The 18,425-nt window shown below is 44.8% G+C and overlaps 1 protein-coding gene, 1 non-coding gene and 1 pseudogene across 7 annotated transcripts in view, besides 1 other annotated feature; all 3 read right to left on the bottom strand.

Annotated features, from left to right (window-relative positions):
* Positions 1-18,425, bottom strand: part of TUFT1 (tuftelin 1) — a 43,275-nt gene that overhangs the window by 22,775 nt on the left and 2,075 nt on the right. The gene's annotated exons all lie outside the window — the stretch shown is intronic.
* RPS10P6 (ribosomal protein S10 pseudogene 6) lies at positions 2,818-3,400 on the bottom strand (annotated as a pseudogene).
* Positions 13,363-13,881: an enhancer, noted in NCBI's record as "H3K27ac hESC enhancer chr1:151519404-151519922 (GRCh37/hg19 assembly coordinates)". NCBI's record gives its function as "activates a minimal SCP1, AML or CMV promoter by ChIP-STARR-seq in naive H9 embryonic stem cells {active_cell/tissue: H9 hESC(naive)}" and the evidence as "EXISTENCE:reporter gene assay evidence [ECO:0000049][PMID:30033119]".
* Positions 14,918-15,013, bottom strand: MIR554 (microRNA 554). The gene has a single exon (NR_030280.1). It is a non-coding gene; the product is annotated as a microRNA 554 (primary transcript).

Raw genomic sequence — 18,425 nt, 5'->3', positions numbered from 1 at the left:
GCTTAGCCACTATGGATCTCTGGTTCCCACTGGAAAAATAAGGAAGTTGGACCAAGTATATCTCAGGCTCCTTCTGGATTCCATTCTGTGACAGCGTGAGGATGGAGTATATGCCTCTCCCAGACAATGAAGAGAAATAGGTGCTGGGCTATCCAAGAATGAAAGTGATCTTGAGGTCATCTGGTCATCCCCTGCCTTGAGGCCCAGCTGCATAAATGACATCTTACTGGTAACAGGTTTTAAGGAACCCTCTTAACCTTCCAAATGTCTAGAGAAGATAACGTTCCAACTTGGTGGAGAAGAAATCAGTCTTTGGTGAGATACTTAACTCTTGATGTTTTTATCTGTAAAAGGGGTATATTACCATCCAACTGAGGGTTTTTTGTTTGTTTGAGATGGAGTCTTGCTCTTGTCTCCCAGGCTGGAGTGCAGTGACACGATCTTGGCTCACTGCAGCCTCCGTCTCCTGGGCTCAAGCAATTCTCCTGCCTCAGCCTCCCAAGTAGCTGGGATTACAGGCATCTGCCACCACACCTGGCTAATTTTTGTATTTTTAGTAGAGACGGGGTTTCGCCACATTGGCCAGGCTGGTCTCGAACTCCTGACTTTGTGATCCTCCCGCCTCAGCCTCCCAAAGCGCTGGGATTACAGGCGTGAGCCACCGCACCCGGCCCCCAACTGAGGGTTTTTTTGTTGAATATTACTTAAAAATATTGCCGGTGTGCTGGCTCATGCCTGTAATCCCAGCACTTTGGGAGGCCGAGGTGGGAGGATCACCTGAGGTCAGGAGTTCGAGACCAGCCTGGCCAACATGGTGAAACCCCATCTCTACCAAAAATACAAAAAAATTAGCCAGGCGTGGTGGTGGGCGCCTGTAATCCCAGCTGCTCAGGAGACTGAGGCAGGAGAATCGCTTGAACCAGGGAGGCGGAGGTTAAAGTGAGCTGAGATCGCGCCACTGCACTCCAGCCTGGACGACAGAGTGAGATGCTGTCTCAAAAAGAAAAAGAAAATGAGAAAATGTATGGAGGTTACTCTCTGCCACACAGGAGGGTGGCACTGAAACATCAGCATCCTCCCACTTTTTGGATTGGGAAGACAGAAGACACTGTCACAATGGCCCTTAAACCTTCCCAACCCTAGCAAAGTAGCTGGTTTTATGAAAACACTTAATTCCTATGAAATAAAAGCCACATCCTTAGAGTGGCATGCAAGGCTTTCCACAGTCTGGGTAAACTCACACCTCTTGCTACCATCTCTCAGTGCCCTATCCAATACATTCCATGGTTTCCAACTTCAGTGCCTTTGCTCCCATCATTTCCTGTGCCTTAAATATCTATTCTTCCCATTTTCACCTAAGGCGTCTCCAAGTTCCTCAAGTTCATGTTCAAATGCCTCATCTTCCAAGATGCTACCCCGCATCCTGTGGGAAACACATCTTCCCCTCCTTGAGCTCCCACAGCGTCACAAGGCCTCCCATGGCATCTGCCTCTCAGTTATTTGTGTTTTGTGAAGAATTACCCCTTCTGTTAACTCCTCAAGAGCTGTTGTATGCCACAGCCCTTAGCAAAGGTATTTTCTGAATGCACAGAGAATGCTCCATGACATCTAGGTCAAGAAAATATTACAAAAGAAAAAAGAGGAAATGATTTCAAAATAGCCAGAATGGCTGCCAAATTCTTCCTTCCCAGGACATACCTGCACTTTTATTAAAACAGTATCTCGACCAGGGGCAGTGGCTCATGCCTGTAAACCCAGCACTTTAGGAGGCCAAGGTGGGTGGATCACCTGAGGTCAGGAGTTTGAGACCAGCCTGGCCAACATGGTGAAACCCCGTCTCTACTGAAAATATAAAACTCAGCTGGCTGTGGTGGCAGGCACCTGTAATCCCAGCTACTAGGGAGGCTGAGGCAGGAGAATCGCTTGAACCTAGGAGGTGGAGGTTCCAGGGAGCCAAGATCATACCACTGCACTCCCGCCTGGGCAACAGAGCAAGACTCCGTCTCAAAAAGAAAAAAAAAAAAAAAGGACACTATCTCCCCATAGTGTTCTATGGAGGCAGGCTGGGAAAAGGCAGGGCATCCTTCAGTCAGAACAAAGGGGTTATTAGCTAATGAAGGTCAAGTCTGGTCTGTTTCATAAACCTACGCATTCCAATTGGAAGAGCATAGACAACTAGGCTGGGTTGGGGCACTGAGAGATGATTCCATCCAGCCATCAGAATTCCAGGTAGAGAGGAGAAAGAGGGTCAGTTGAAAATGTTCTCAAAGAAATAATGACCAAAAATTTTCAAAATTTGGCAAAAGACACAAATCTATAGATTCAAGAAGCCAAGCAAACTTCAAACAGAATAAACATGAAATTCATGCCATGATAGATCATAATTAAATTTCTGATAACTAAAGACAAAGAAAAAGTCTTGAAAGCAGAGAAAATAACCTTTGAGGGGATCCCTCAAAGGTTATTTTCTCTTCGGAAATGACAGAGAGTAGAAGGAAGTGGCATACTATTTTTCAAATGCTGAAAGAGAAGAACGGTCAATTCAGAATTGACAAAGGAAAATATCCTGTAACAAAGGAAAATATCCTTCAGAAATGAGGGGGAAATCAAGACATTCTCAGATGAAGGAAAACTAAGAGAATTTCTCACCAGCAGACCTACACTAAAAGAATGGCTTAAAAAGTTCTCTAAACAGAAAGGAAATTATTTTTTAAAAAAAGGAAACTTGAAATAATGGGAAGAAAGAAACATGAGTTGAAAAAAGATGGGTAAATACAACAAGATTTCCTTCCCCTCTTAGGTTTTCTTTTTTTTTTTTTAAGTTTTTTTGCTGTAAGTTTATTCAATGCAAAATAATCCTCTCCAATTTTACTGAGGTGGCTGACCACATCCTCAACCAAATCCACCTCTAAACTGGAATTCGGTTGCTGACCCAGCCCCAGCCTCAGCTTTGCTGTCGGCACCAGGCGGCACAGCACTCCGTCTGTAGGTTATCTCTGTCCGCTTTCCCTCTTGTGAGTCTTGCAGGTCGCTCACCCTTCAGACCTTTAGGCTGAGGACTTCCAGTCTCTGGACGGCTGCAGCATAGAGTGGCAGGCACAATCTCCGGGGCAGATGAAGGTAATCACGGAGATACTGGATGCCCTCATTGGTAACGTACCAGTGGAAATGTCTCCAGGCAAACTGTTCCTTCACGTAGCCTCGGGACTTGAGAGGCTGCATGGCCTTCATGACATGAAGATTGGGCACATCCTTGTCTGCCAGCTCCCGGTGCTTAGGCATGTGGACATCCTTCTTGGCCACCATGACTCCCTCCTTAAAAAGGAGTTCATAAATGGCAATCCGGTTCTTAGGCATCAACATCTCGGTGGCTGTAGGGGCCGGGGCTGGGGCTGGAAAGCCCCTCTTAGGTTTTCTAAGTTACATTTGATGATTAAAGCAAAAAGTATAACAATGTCTGATGTGGTTCTAAATGTATGCAGAGAAAATATTTAAATATGATAATATTATACTATTAAATATTTAGTATCATAAATGGGAGAAGGTAAAGGGATGTAAAGGAAGGAAAGGTTTCTCTTCTTCACTCAAACTAGTAAAATGCCAACACCAGGAGACTGTGATAACCTATGTATACATAATGTATAATACCTAGAGTAACCACTAAAAAGTCTATACAAAGAGATAACACTCAAAAACATTATAAATGAATAAAAATGGAATCCTAAAAAGTGTTCAGTTAATCCACAGGAAGGCAGGAAAAAGAAAACAGATAAATGAAAAACAGAACCGGGCATCATAGCTCACATCTGTAATCTCAGCATTTTGTTTGGTTTTTGAGACTAATTCTGTTTCTGTCACCCAGGCTGGAGTACAGTGACGCAATCTCGGCTCACTGCAACCTCTGCCTCCCAGGTTCAAGCAATTCTCCTACCTCAGCCTCCCACGTAACTGAACTGGGATTACAAGCTCCCGTGACAATGCCTGGCTAATTTTTATATGTTAATATAGAGGGGGCTTCACCATGTTGGCCAGGCTGGTCTCGAACTCCTGACCTCAAGTGATCCATCTGCCTTGGTCTCCCAAAGTGCTGGGATTACAGGCGTGAGTCACTGTGTCCGGCCTGTAATCTCAGCATTTTGGGAGGCCAAGGTGGGAGGATTGCTTGAGGCCAGGAGCTTGAGACCAGACTGGGCAACAAAGTTGCCCCTCTCTTCAAAAAAACATGTTTTTTTCTTATCCAGGCATGGTGTTGTGTGCCTGTTGTCCCAGAAACTCAGGAGGTTGAGGTGGGAGGATTACTTGAGCTGGGGAGGTTGAGGCTGTAGCTAGCTGCTATCATACCACAGCACTCCAGCCTGGGCTACGGAGTAGGACCCTGAGGAGAGGAGCTGGGGGGTGGGAAGGGAGGAGACGGGGAGGGGGAGGAGAAAGGAAGGGAAGGGAAGGCAGGGAGGGAAAGGGAAAAGGAAGGAAAGGGAAGGGAAGGGGAAAGGGGAAAGGAAAGGGAAAAAGCAGCTTTATTTGTAACAGCCAAAAACTAGAAACAACCCAGATGCCTTCAGTAGAGAAATGGTTAAACAAACTGTGGCACATCTGTTATTGTGGAATACTACTCAGCAATAAAAAGGATCAAACTATTGATACATGCAACAACACTCTCCAGAGAATTTGCTGAGTGAAAAAAGCCAATCACAAAAGTTTACATGCTCTATAATTTCACTTGTGTAACATTTTTTAAATAACAAAGTTATAGAAATGGGAAAAGGACTGGTGGTTACTAGGAGTTAAGAAGAAAGTGGGGGGGAGGAGGGAAATGAGTGTGGCTCTCAAAGGGCAACATGAGGGGTGCTTTTGGTGATGGAAATGTTCCATAGCTTGACTGTATCAATGCCAATATCCTGGTTGTGATAGAGTACCACAGTTTTGCAAGATGTTACCACTGGAAAAAATGGAATAAAGGATATGGGGGAATTCTATTATTTCTTATAACTGCATGTGAATCTATAATTATCTTTTTTTTTTTTTTTTTTTTGAGACGGAGTCTCACCTTGTCACCCAGGCTGGAGTGCAATGGCACCATCTCAGCTCACTGCAACCTCTGCCTCCTGGGTTCAAACGATTCTCCTGCCTCAGCTTCCCAAGTAGCTGGGACTATAGGCACCCACCACAACGTCCGGCTAATTTTTGTATTTTTAGTAGAGAAGGGGTTTCACCATGTTGGCCAGGTTGGTCTCAAACTCCTGACCTCGTGATCTGCCTGCCTCGGCCTCCCAAAGTGCTTGGATTACAGGTGTGAGCCACCATGCCCGACCTATAATTATCTTTTTTGTTAAAAAAAAAAAAAAGGAATTAATATTCCTTCAAGTACTTGCAGGGACAAAAAGAATATACTGAAGAAAATAAGCATTTATAATCCTGCCACCCAGAAACAGCCACTATTAAAATGTTAGTGTATGCCTTATAATTTTTTTTTTTTTTTTGAGAGGGAGTCTCATTCTGTTACCCAGGCTGGAATGCAATGGCACAATCTTGGCTCACCACACCCTCTGACTCCCCAGTTCAAGCAATCCTCCTACCTCAGCCTCCTGAGTAGCTGGGATTACAGGTGTGCACCACCATAGCTGGCTAAGTTTTTGTATTTTTGATAGAGACATGGTTTCGCCATGTTGCCCAGGCTGGTCTTGAACTCCTGACCTCATGTGATCCACCCGCCTCGGCCTCCCAAAGTGCTGGGATTACAGGAGTGAGCCACCATGCCCGGCCTTAAAATTTAGAACTTTTATTCATCAAAAGACACTGCTAAGAGGGCTGGTGTGGTGGCTCACACCTGTAACCCCAGCACTTTGGGAGGCCGAGGTGGGTGGATCACCTGAGGTCAGGAGTTCAAGACCAGCCTGGCCAACATGCTGAAACCCTGTCTCTACTGAAAATACAAAAATTACCCAGGAGTGGTGGCACATGCCTGTAGTCCCAGCTACTCAGGAGGCTGAGGCAGGAGGATCGCTTGAACTCTGGAGGCAGAGGTTGCAGTGAGCCAAGACTGTGCTATTGCACTCCAGTCTGGGCAACGGAGTGAGACTCTGTCTCAAAAAAAAAAAAAAAAAAAAAAAAAAGGGGGCCGGGCACAGTGGTTCACAGTCCCAGCACTTTGGGGAGGCCAAGGTAGGTAGATCACGAGGTCAGGAGTTCGAGACCAGCCTGGCCAACATGTTGAAACCCCATCTCTACTAAAAATACAAAAATTAGCCGGGTGTGGTAGCACGTGCCTGTAGTCCCAGCTACTCAGGAGGCTGAGACGGGAGAATTGCCTGAACCCGGGAGGCAGAGGTTGCAGTGAGCCAAGATCGTGCCACTGCACTCCGACCTGGGCAACAGAGCAAGACTCTGTCTCAATAACAATAAAATAAAATTTAAAAAAACACTGCATGGCAACCCACAGAGCAAAAGAAATTCACTATATGTATATCTGACAAAAGATGTCCAGAATATATAAAGAATTCCTACTAAACAAAATGATTAACATGGGATCCTGGACTGAATCCTGGATCAGAAAAAAGATATTAGTGGAAAAAGTGGTGAAACCCAGATAGTCTACAACTTTGTTAACAGCATTGTACCAACATTAATTTCTTTATATGACAAACGTGCCATGGTGACATAAGATGTTAACATTGTGGGAAAACTGGATGAAGGGTATATAAGAGTTCTCTGTACTACTTTGCAACTTTTCTGTAAATTTAAAATTATTTCAAAATAAAATGTTTACTTAAAGAAAGAAAGGGAGACAGCCAGCCAGACATGCAGCCCAATAGAAAAACAGGCAGAAGATGCCAACAGACACATCATTGTGAGGATACCCAAACAGTCATTAAACATATGACAAGGGGTTCAACTTCATTAGGCATTATCAAAGAGCTGGAAAGTAAAACCACAAAACAATGCCACAAAATACCTATCAGAATGACTAACATGAAATGGATAAAAAAAAAATACGAAGTGTTCAGCAGATGTGGAACAACCGACACTCTGAGACACTGATGCTGGGATTGCGCAGCAACACAATCGCTGGAAAATTCAGAAGCATGGACCAAAGATAAACACAAAAGTACTCTAAGGCACAGCAATTCCACCACTAGTTACTCTACCCAACAGAAATGCAAATGTAGGATCTCAGAATATGATACCCCAAAATGAAGACCTCGGAAGAAAAAAGTTTTCTCTGACTTTCTCCTGACCTCTTTTCTGGCCTTTCATTCCTCCCCTCCCCATCCCGGGGCTAGCCATAGAAACTAGAATCCCTCTTCTCAAGGTGGGTCATAGAAACCAGAACCCCTTTTCCCCAAAGCCAGCCATAAAACCTAAAAATATTACTCTGACTTTCCACCTCTCTTTCTATTAAAAGCTAGCTATAAAGAAATTATCTGGCCGGGTGCAGTGGCTCATGCCTGTAATCTCAGCACTTTGGGAGGCGTGGGCAGATCACGAGGTCAGGAGTTCGAGACCAGCCTGGCCAACATGGCGAAACCCCATCTCTACTACAAATAGAAAAATTAGCCAGGCGTGGTGTCAGGTGCCTGTAGTCCCAGCTACTCAGGAGGCTGAGGCAGGAGAATTGCTTGAACCTGGGAGGTGGAGGTTGCTGTGAGCCAAGATCGTGCCACTGCACTCCAGCCTGGGGACAAGAGCAAGACTCCATCTAAAAAAAAAAAAATTATCTGACCCACCTTGCTTGATCTGAAGTCATAAGACCCCCATTCCAGAGAGGGCCCTGTCTCACACCTGGAAGGAATGCTTAGAGAGGTCAAGAAGAATCTAGACAGACAGGCCTTGCTGGGTTTCCCCATTTAGTCTCTCAGCATTAGATCATACCCTTTTTGTCCAATCATATTTCTACACAGCTGCCTATACTTTTTCAAATCTAAGAATGGACTGCTTCTGATTCAGTAAGGCTAGCTTTTAAAAAATAATAAAAATTGAAAATTTAAAAATAATGGACGTTTTCCTCTGTATATTTGGGTCTTCATTCAGAAGGTTCCTATGTCACCTAAAACTATGATCAAATAAATCTGTATGCCTTTTTTTTTTTTTTTTTTTTTTTTTTGAGACAGAGTCCCTCTCGCTCTGTCGGCCAGGCTGGAGTGCAGTGGCACGATCTCGGCTCACTGCAACCTCCACCTCCCGGGCTCAAGCAATTCTCCTGCCTCAGCCTCCCAAGTAGCTGGGATTACCGGCGTGTCCCACCACACCCAGCTAATTTTTGTATTTTTAGTAGAGATGGGGTTTCACCATGTTGGGCAGGCTGCTCTCGAACTCCTGACCTCAGGTAATCCACCCGCCTCGGCTTCCCAAAGTGCTGGGATTAAAGGCGTGAGCCACCGCGCCCGGGCCTTTTTCCCTATTTTCTTTTGTCAGTGATTTTCAGCAAAACTTCCGAGGGTGAAGGAGAGGCTTTCCCTTTGCCCTGGCACATACATATGTTTCCCATAAAAGCATGTATACTAGAAAGTTCACAGTAGCATTTTTCAAAATAGCCTCAAACCAGAAATTACCCACATGTTCAGCAAGAGTAGAATAAATTGTAATATATTCATACAATGGAACTTTGTACAACAATGAAAAAGAATGAAGCACTGTACATGCAACATCAGTAAATCTCACAAAGATGTTAAGCAAAAGAATCCAGACACAAAAGTATACTGTATGATTCCACTTATATAAAAAGCACAAAAATAAGCAAAACTAATATAATTTGCACTTTAGAAGTCAGGATAGTGGTTACCCTTGAGGTGGAGGTAGGTGGTAATTAGAAGGGGACATGAGGGGGCTTCTGCAGTGCCCGTAATGATTTGTTTCTTGATCTGGGTGCTGCTCACAGGAATGTGTCTAGTTTGTGAAAATTACTTGACTGGACATTTGTGATGTACATATTTTTCTGTATATATGTTACTATTAAATGTTTTTAAAAACAAAAAGTCAAAAACTCCTTATTATGGTATTAGAGTCCCCTTATGATCAGGACCATCACAGTTTATACCACATAAAATGTTTTGACTCCCTCCAGTACCCCAATGTACCCTGCACTCTATCCCCAACTTTTTCCTGATCCAATTGTAGAAGGCATCCAAAGCCAAGTCTGTTTCTGCTAACGGGTCTTCCAGTGCAATACGTGCTCCCACCTCCCCAGAGGTGCGCATGTTGCTTTCTCCGACCGGGGTATCCTCTCCTCCCTTGCCTCCTTGGAGAATTCCTGCTCAGCCTTCAAGGTATCTCCTCTCTGAGGGTCCGACCCTTATCCCAGCACTCCTCCCTCAGTCAGAGCACCTACTGCAACCTACATATCCTGCACTTTAACAAGGAGCCCATTCTTTTGTAACAATTCATTCATCTCCCCCGAGAAAATCATAAGCTCCTTGAAGACATGGATAGCTTATTTAGTACAATGGCTGGCCTAGAATAGGTTCTCAAAAAAATATGTTGTTGCATGAGTTCCAGGTGATATGTTCAGGGATTTTCCCAATTCCCTTTGAGAAACTCCAGCTCTTCAGTTTAGAGAAGCAGTATGGAATACTAGAAAAAGCAGACACAGAAAAGTAGCAGAGGAAGGTCAAGGAAAAACTGAGCAAAGACTAAGAAGGCAACTCTAAAAAGAAATAACAAGTGGCTAATGGAATAGGAAAGATGCTCAACCTCACCAGTAAAGGAAAAGGCAAATTAAAATGCTAATGAGCTATTTTGGGGGGATTTCATTACACTTATAGAAATATAAAGATAAGACATGTAGAAATATGTTCACAGTAGCATTGCATGCAATGGCAAAATACCAGAAACCACCCAGATGGCCCACTGACAAGAAAACAAATTTTTAAATTATATATTATTTTTGAGACAGGGTCTCACTGTGTTACCCAGGCGGGAGTGCAGTGGCATGATCATGCCTCACTGCAGCCTTGACCTCCCAGGCTCAATTGATCCTCTCATCTCAGCTTCCTAAGCAGCTGGACTACAGGCGTGCACCACCGTGCCTGGCTAATTAGAAAATGAATGAATAAACCCTGACATATTAGTACAATGAACTACTATTCAGCTGTGAAAATAAATGAACTATGAAACATGCATTGACATGAATAAATCTCAAAATAAGTGTTAAGTGAAAAAGCAAGCTGGGGCCAGGTGTGGTGGCTCACGCCTGTAATCCCAGCACTTTGGAAGGCCGAGGCAGGCAGATCACTTGAGGTCTGGAGTTTGAGACCAACCTGGTCAACATGGTGAAACCCCGTCTCCACTGAAAATATAAAAATTAGCTGGGCCTGGTGGTGCATGCTTGTAATCCCAGCTACTCGGGAAACTGAGGTGGGAGAATCGCTTAAACCCAAGGGGCGGAGGCTGCAGTGAGCCAAGATCACGCCATTGCACTCCAGCCTGGGTGACAGAGTGAGACTCTGTCTCAAAAAAACAAACAAACGAAAAAACTATTTGGGCCAGGCACAGTGGCTCACGCCTATAATCCCAGAACTTTGGGAGGCCAAAGCAGGTGGATCACCAGAGGTCAGGAGTTCAAGGCCAGCCTGGCCAACATGGTGAAACCCCGTCTCTACTAAAAATACAAAACACTGGCCAGGTGTGGTGGTGGGCACCTGTAATCCCAGTTGCCTGGGAGGCTGAGGCAGGAGAATCGCTTGAACCTGGGAGGCAGAGGCCCCAGGGAGATAAGGAGAGAGGTGCAGTGAGCCCTGTGACACTCCTATAATAAAACATATAAAGAGAAGGAAAGAAAAAGTACTAAACTTGGCTAGGCATGTTGGCTCACGCCTGTAATCCCAGCACTTTGGGAGGCCCAGGAGGGCAGATCACCTGAGTCCAGGAGTTTGAGACCAGCCTGGGCAACATAATGAGACCCTGTCTCTACAAAAAGTACAAAAATTAGCCTGGTGTGGTGGTGCACACCTGCAGTCCCAGCTACTAGGGAAGCTGAGGTGAGAGGATCAATTGAGCTCATAAGGTCAAGGCGGCAGTGAGCCAAGACTGTGCCATGCACTCCAACCCAGGTGACAGAGCGAGACTCTGTTTCAAAACAAAGTACTAAACTTGAAGTCAGAGGCAGGATGTCTGAGTCCTGATTGATGACCATTAATCCTTGAGCAAATCACTTAATCTCTCTGGGCCTCAGTTTTCTGTCTGTAAAATGAGGGTGATAATTTCACAACCGACATTTTAGGAAGAGTAGATAGATGTGCAAGAATGATGTAAAAGTGATTTGCAAACCATACATCTCTTCACAAGGGTGAAGCAGCATTACTTTCCCAAGTAGCTCTGGAAAGTCTGCAAGGGAAGAGGGTGGATGAGGTAAATTGTCTAATGGAGCTGATGAAAAACTTAGGGCTCTCTCTGGCACCTCATCCTCCAGAACTGGAGAATGCATCTTAGTCAGCAAGGCCACAGACCTCGGCCTGCACCCCCAACCCAGAGTCAAGGAGCAAATCCTGGGGCTCCTCTCTGCCTGGTGCACTTAGTTGTTTTCTAGAGCAGGCTTGCATTTCCTCAGGACTATGAGCAGGCTCCAGGGAGCTTTAGGAACACCCCAAAAATATCCGGCAGGGGGGTCTCTACTGGGTACTCTAAAAGGCAAGATGAGAAGTGGAGCCTTCTTCTCTAGGGAAAAAGGAGCAGTACTAATCACAAGGTAAGCAGCCTCTAACCTCATAAACATTTTTGGGAGAAGCCCAGCTACCTCCAAATTATAGGCAGCCTCACCACTCTGTTCAAACAAATCTCCAACCCTGACTCACTCCTCAAAGCAGGGAGGGGGTAAACACATAGCTGAGGGGTTAGAGATCAAGACGCCACAGCAGAGATAAGGAGATAAACAGGGAGGCCCCAGGGAAATAAGGAGAGAGGTGCAGAGTTCTCACACCACAGGCTCATGTGAATAGGGAAAAGCCTGCGTTCCCCCAGCTCTCACTCCCCAGGTTTTACAGGGGTCACTAGGACTGGGTAGGAGTCAAGTGTAAGGTTCTTTCTAAGAGGAAGTAAAGGAAGTGGAGATTGCCCCTGAGCTGGAAACCAGCAACCTTAATTCATCTTCACCCTGTATCCCACTCTTCCCTCACTTTGCCCCTCAATCCCACCCACTTTCCCACCCCAAGTGTACATGGCCTCTCAAGCTGCTGGAGGAGCAGTCACTTCAGTTTCCCCACTTTGAAAAATGGGAGGCTGGGCACGGAGGCTCAAGCCTGTAATCCCAGCACTTTGGGAGGCCAAGGCAGGCGAATCACGAGGTTAAGAGATTGAGATCATCCTGGCCAACAGGATGAAACCCCATCTCTACTAAAAATACAAAAATTAGCTGGGCGTGGTGGCGCACGCCTGTAGCTCCAGCTACTTGGGAGGCTGAGGCAGGAGAATCACTTGAACCTGGGAGGTGGAGGCTGCAGTGAGCCAAGATTGGGCCACTGTACTCCAGCCTGGTGACAGAGCAAGACTCCGTCTCAAAAAAAAAAAAAAAAGAAAAGAAAAAGAAAAAAGAAAAGTAGGAATAGCCAGCCCCTTGTAACAATGGCACCCAAGTGATCAGGATGAAGGAAGTCCCATAAACTCAAAGAACAGAGCCGGATGGGATAGGTGGGTACCTACCCTCTCTACCCTCTCCTTGAGTGAGGCTCGCACCCGACTCAGCTCATCAGTCTCAGGTACATGGTCCTGCCTTCTGCAGTGCTGCCTAGGCCAGAGATGGCCCTTTGTGGAGTATGACACAAAGAATCACTCCCTTTCTTCCTCCCCAGATTAGCCAACAAAACAGGTGTTTGATTTTTATGTGGCTGCCTACCCAGAGGCATGGGCTGGACAGGCACTATGTAGAGGGCTCACCAGGGTTACTGTGAGGTGAAATGAGAAAAAGGATTTGAGGTGGCACCCTACATGGGGCAGCCTTTCTCATTACTTGGAGCCCTAACAAAGGAAAACACTAGGGCCTAGCAGTGACAGTGTGTCTGTAGAGGGAAGTGAGCTCCTGAACCAACTCTGAAGGAGACACCCACTTGCTAAGCCAGTCTCACTCTAGGACACCTGCCTAGCGACCAGCAAACCTGGAATGAAAGGGCAAGTTCCTCAGTGCCCCCTCTGCATCAAAGGGAGTGGCTCTGCCCTCTCTAGTCTCTGACTACCTGCTTAGTGATTTTTGCTTCTGTGCTCCCAGACCCAAGAAAACCACGTCTCTTTTCTTCCTTCATCGACTCATCCCCTTCTTACCCTATATTGTCTCCTCCACTTCCTGCCTCTGCTGGCCAGGCTTAAATCTGGGCCACCAGCCTTCCTGGCACATACCTATTTCCGCAACTGAACCTTCCCAACCCCTAGAAAACAAAGGTATTTCACAAGCCTCTGCACCTTGACCCAAAGAGGCATGCACCATAATTACTAGCAGGCAAGGAAGCTCATCCCACCTCTCTGAGCACACGTGTCTGGAACTGAAACCATCTGGGTGCACGCCCCCCTCCACCCTGGAGAACTATGGGCAAATGTTAGTGCCAAATGCCTGATGATGAGGTAACTCTCCTCGCTCAGAGGAGATCCCTCCTTCTCTGGCAAAGCCCAGCATTCCCCAAATTCCTGGCAGCCTTGGTGACATCAGAAAAATGCAGTGCTCCTGAAAGTAAGAACCTGGCAATAAATGGGAGAGATGGGATGGTGTGAGGAGAAATTTATGGGCTGAGTTTAGGACAAGTTTCATGAGTAGAAGGAACAGGCAGCCACCAAACTTGAAAGGCTCCTCTGCCCAGCAGTTTTTCCCCACACTCAGATGTCACAGAACCAGGACTTCCACATTTTAGAATACATTCAGTCCTCTGGAGTAAGCAGCAATGGCTACAGATGAATCCTCCTTTAAAATGCAAATATTCTGACCCAGCAATCCCACTCCTAGGTATTCCTCTCCAAGAGAAATGAAAATATATTTCCACACAAAAACTTGTACACCAAAGTTCGTAGCAGCATTATAAATGATAGCCAAAAAGTAGAAAGAACCCAAATGTCCACCAACATTTATCCATGACGAACACAGTTGTAATACATCTAAATAATGGAATATTATTCAGCCATAAAAAGGAATGAAGTACTGATTCACATTACAACATGGATGAACCTTGAAAACATCATTCTAATAAAAGATGCCAGTCACAAAGGATCACATACCGATGATTACATTTATATTAAATATCCACAATAGGTAAATCCATAGAGAAAAAAAGTAGACTGGTGGCTGCCTAGGGCTGAGAGAGATTGGGGGGAAATGGGGAGTGACTGCTAATGGGTCAGGATTTCTTTATAAGGTAAGGAAATGTTCTAAAATTGATTTATTGATGATTGCACAACTCTGTGAATGTACTAAAAACCACTGAGTTACATACTTTAAATGGGGTATATGAATTATATCTCAATAAAGCTGTTCATAAAAAATTATATGAAGCTCATGGTAAGGCTTCAATAAATCACAATTCTAATTTAAAAAATAAAAGAGAGTGAGGCTCTGGAAAGACTTGGCATTAAACTACTTGAGCTTCTGAGGTCCTAAAGGAATGTCACCTATTCCACAGTAAAGACAAGTCTTCAGATTGCAGCTGATAAAAAAATTCCAAGTCCACCCGGGTGTTGGAGAACCTCTCTGGCCAAGACAAATCCAAAAAAAGAAAAAGAAAAAGAGAGAGAGGATGAAAAAAATGCAAATAGTTCCCAATTAATGTAGATAAATTTTAAAATGCATTAAAGTAATGGTAAAGACAATAAAAAGATGCTGTAGAAAAAAAAAAAAAAGAAAAAAATGCAAATATTCGAAAGAAAGATAAAACTGATATATTACTTAAAGAAACCAGAGCAGCAGGGGACACCAGCTGCCTTGGTCATGAGGTCTAAAAAAGAAGAGGAAAGATGCCCAGAGAGAGATGCCAAAATATGAACCCTGACCCATCACCAGTCTAAGACCAGTACTGGCTGAGTCAGGACTAGCAAAGGTTACTCAGGTCTTCACCCTGGGTCTATCTGTAGGCCTTCCTCTCACCCCTGGGACTCTCCACTGGTTGAGGGACCTGGATCATCAAGGAAACGAGAAAGAAACAGGAATAAACAAAAGTCAGCATAATGAGGAGGAGCAAACCTTGCCCAAACCAGAGAGTTCCCAGACTCTTCCTCCATCCCTTGGCTGGTTGCTTATAGGAGGTTAAAACAGTCTAGTCTAAGCCAGTAGAAATAGAAAATAATAGCTAACCTCTGAGTACTTACCACATGCCAGGCACTGTGCTTCATATTTTATGTGTATTATCTAATTTAATCCTCACAACTACCTTATGAGAAGGGTGCAATTATTATCCCAGTTTTACAAGTGAGAAAACTAAGAATGAAGAAATTAAGTAATTTGCCTAAGTGAGCTTGGGCAAAGCAGACATCAAAGCCTGATTAGAGCCCACCTTAGTCAGATTCCCAGAGCCATGCTCTTTTTTTTGTTTGTTTGAGACGGAGTTTCACTCTTGTTGCCCAGGCTGGAGTGCAATGGCGTGATCTCGGCTCACTGCAACCGCCACCTCCTGGGTACATATGATTCTCCTGCCTCAGTCTCCCAAGTAGCTGGGATTATAGGTGCGCACCACCACACCTGGCTAATTTTGTATTTTTAGTAGAGATGGGGTTTTGCCATGTTGGTCAGGCTGGTCTCGAACTCCTGATCTCAGGTGATCCACCTGCCTCAGCCTCCCAAAGTGCTGGGATTACAGACGTGAGCCACTGCACTCAGCCCAGAGCCATGCTCTTGACCACAATGCTATTAACAGAAACTAGTTTATTACATTACCAAAAATTGTAATACAATTACACTGGGAGGATGGGAAGGAAGCATGTCAGGGGTGGGAGTATAGATTTTCCTATAATTCCTACAACAGAAGTCAATAGATGTCTAAAACTGATAAATCAATTAAAATCACTGTAAGCATATTATTTAGAAACATGGAGGTAAACACAAAACAGCTCAAAGAGTAGAAAGTGGTTACTTCCATGGAGCAGAACTTGGAGCAGGGGACTGCTATTTTCTTTTAAAAGCCTTTTGATATTATTGATACTTTGATACTTTAAAATCATGCACATATGTGATTTTAAATGTCCGAGATCACGTCGTTGCACTCCAGCCTGGGCAACAAGAGTGAAACTCCTTTGATAAAAAGTGATTTAAGAGGCCAGGCACGGTGGCTCACGCCTGTAATCCCAGTACTTTGGAAGGCCGAAGCGGGCAGATCATTTGAGGTCAGGAGTTTGAGACCAGCCTGGCCAACATGATGAAACCCCATCTCTAGTAAAAGTACAAAAATTAGCTGGGCATGGTGGCCCATGCCTGTAATCCCAGCTACTCGGGAGGCTGAGGCAGGAGAATTGCTTGAACCAGGGAGATGGAGGTTGCAGTGAGCCAAGATTGTGCCACCGCACCCCAGCCTGGGTGACAGAGTGAGACTCCATCCTCCCCCTCCCACCGCCCAAAAAAAAGGTGATTTAAGGCCAGGTGCAGTGGTGCACACCTGTAATCCCAGCACTTTGAGAGGCCGAGGCAGGAAGATTACTTTAAACCAGGAGTTCAAGACTAGCCTGGGCAACATAGTGAGAACCCATATCTACGAAAAATGAAAAATTAGCTAAACATGTTGAGTATGCCTGTGGTCCCAGCTACTTGGGAGGCTGAGGTGAAAGGATCCCTTGAGTCCAGGAGTTCAAGGCTGCAGTGAGCTATGATCACACCACTGCACTCCAGCCTGGGCAACAGAGTGAGACCCTGTCTCAAAAAAAAAAAAAAAAGTGATTTAAAGAAGGATGGAAAGAAGGAAGAGAGGGAAGGAGGGAAATGAAATCAGAGATCATCCATGGTAAAGTCTAATGTCATAGACATCTGTTCTTTTGCCACGCAGCTTCCATTCCCCTCCACTGATAACAACACTTGGGTCTTTGGAGAATCTCCTTCCATCACTGTAATCTGGGGGGGGCCTATCAGTCAAGGAACCCTGTCCTGCTCTGGACAACTGGGGGCCAAGGGACAATGGTACTCTCTCCCTGGAATCTTGAGCATAATGGTGCAGAGACCTAAAACAGCTGGAACCAATTCACCAATAGTAGTAAGCCTCCATCGTTCCACTTACCCAGGCCCCAGAACATCCTTGGTTAGGGCTTTCTAAGCTTTCCCTTAAATTCTGTGAACTGCTCTATTTCCTTCTAATAATTTCCTCATCTGCTTAGTTTAGCTGGAGTCATTCTCTGTTGTTTATAACCAAAGGAAGTTAATGGAAATATCTAGTAAAAAGGAGTTTGGTGTTTATTTGTTCTTTTATTTGCCAATATAACTTACCACAGTGGCTTGCAAAACTTTTCAATCTCAAAAACATATTTCACATCAAGACCCAGTAAACAAACACGTACATATATAATACACACACACACACACACACACACACACACACATATATATATAACTGAAATAAAAGTTCTACCAAAAATGTCTATCCTCACTAACACTCTAAGAGTGTTAATTCTATTTCTTTTTTAATACTGGTCTGACCTACTAAGTTGATCTCAGACCCACTACTGGTTATGGTCTGCAGTTCTGAAAAACACTGGCTCCTTGTACCTGCTGCATCTGCCTCCAACAATAAAAACATCCCAGAGAGTGTATTGGCCCTATGTCCATGTCCACATGTGATACGCTAAGGCACACTGCCTGGCTAGTGGGGAAACACCAACAGAGTCCCAGGGCCCTCACTCCCAGTAGGATCTCTAATCAGTTCAACTGTCTACATTCTGACTCCGGAAGAAACATCTGTTCATTTATTTATTGACTCACTTTGCACATGAATTGAGCACCCATTCAGTGGTGTGAATATATGACAGATTCCTGGGGGTTGTCCAGAGCCATAAATTCTGTCTGCAAGTTGGCTCAGAGAAGAGGAATCCAGGACAAGGCCTGTGTCCCGACTGTTCACCATCTCCTCCCCTCCCTTAAGGGCCCAGGAATGTCTCCAAGATCAGATCTGGGCAATGATTACTTCATTCCCAGCTCTGGAGTAAAATAAGTCTCAAGTTCAGCCTAGAAAAAAGGAATAAAAGGGAATTTCTGTCTCTCCCTTGCTCTAGAGGTCTCTGGTTAGCTTCAAACTAACCTATGATGGAGACCATCTGAATTCCTTGTCCATTATTTTCTCTTAGTAATTTTTTCTGCCCCACCAGACAAAGAGCAAAAACATCAAGAAAGAGTAAAAGGGGCCAGATGTAGTGGCTCATGCCTGTAATCCCAAGCCTTTGGGAGGCCAAGGTGGGCAGACTGCTTGAGCCCAGGAGTTCGAGACTAGCCTGGGCAACATGGTGAAATCCCATCTCTACCAACAGAAAAAAAAAAAAAAAATTTTAGT

The sequence above is a fragment of the Homo sapiens genome, chromosome 1 (genome assembly GCF_000001405.40).
Source record: "Homo sapiens chromosome 1, GRCh38.p14 Primary Assembly".
NCBI classification, from domain to species: Eukaryota; Metazoa; Chordata; class Mammalia; order Primates; family Hominidae; genus Homo; species Homo sapiens.
This window is presented reverse-complemented; position numbering and strand designations above follow the sequence as displayed.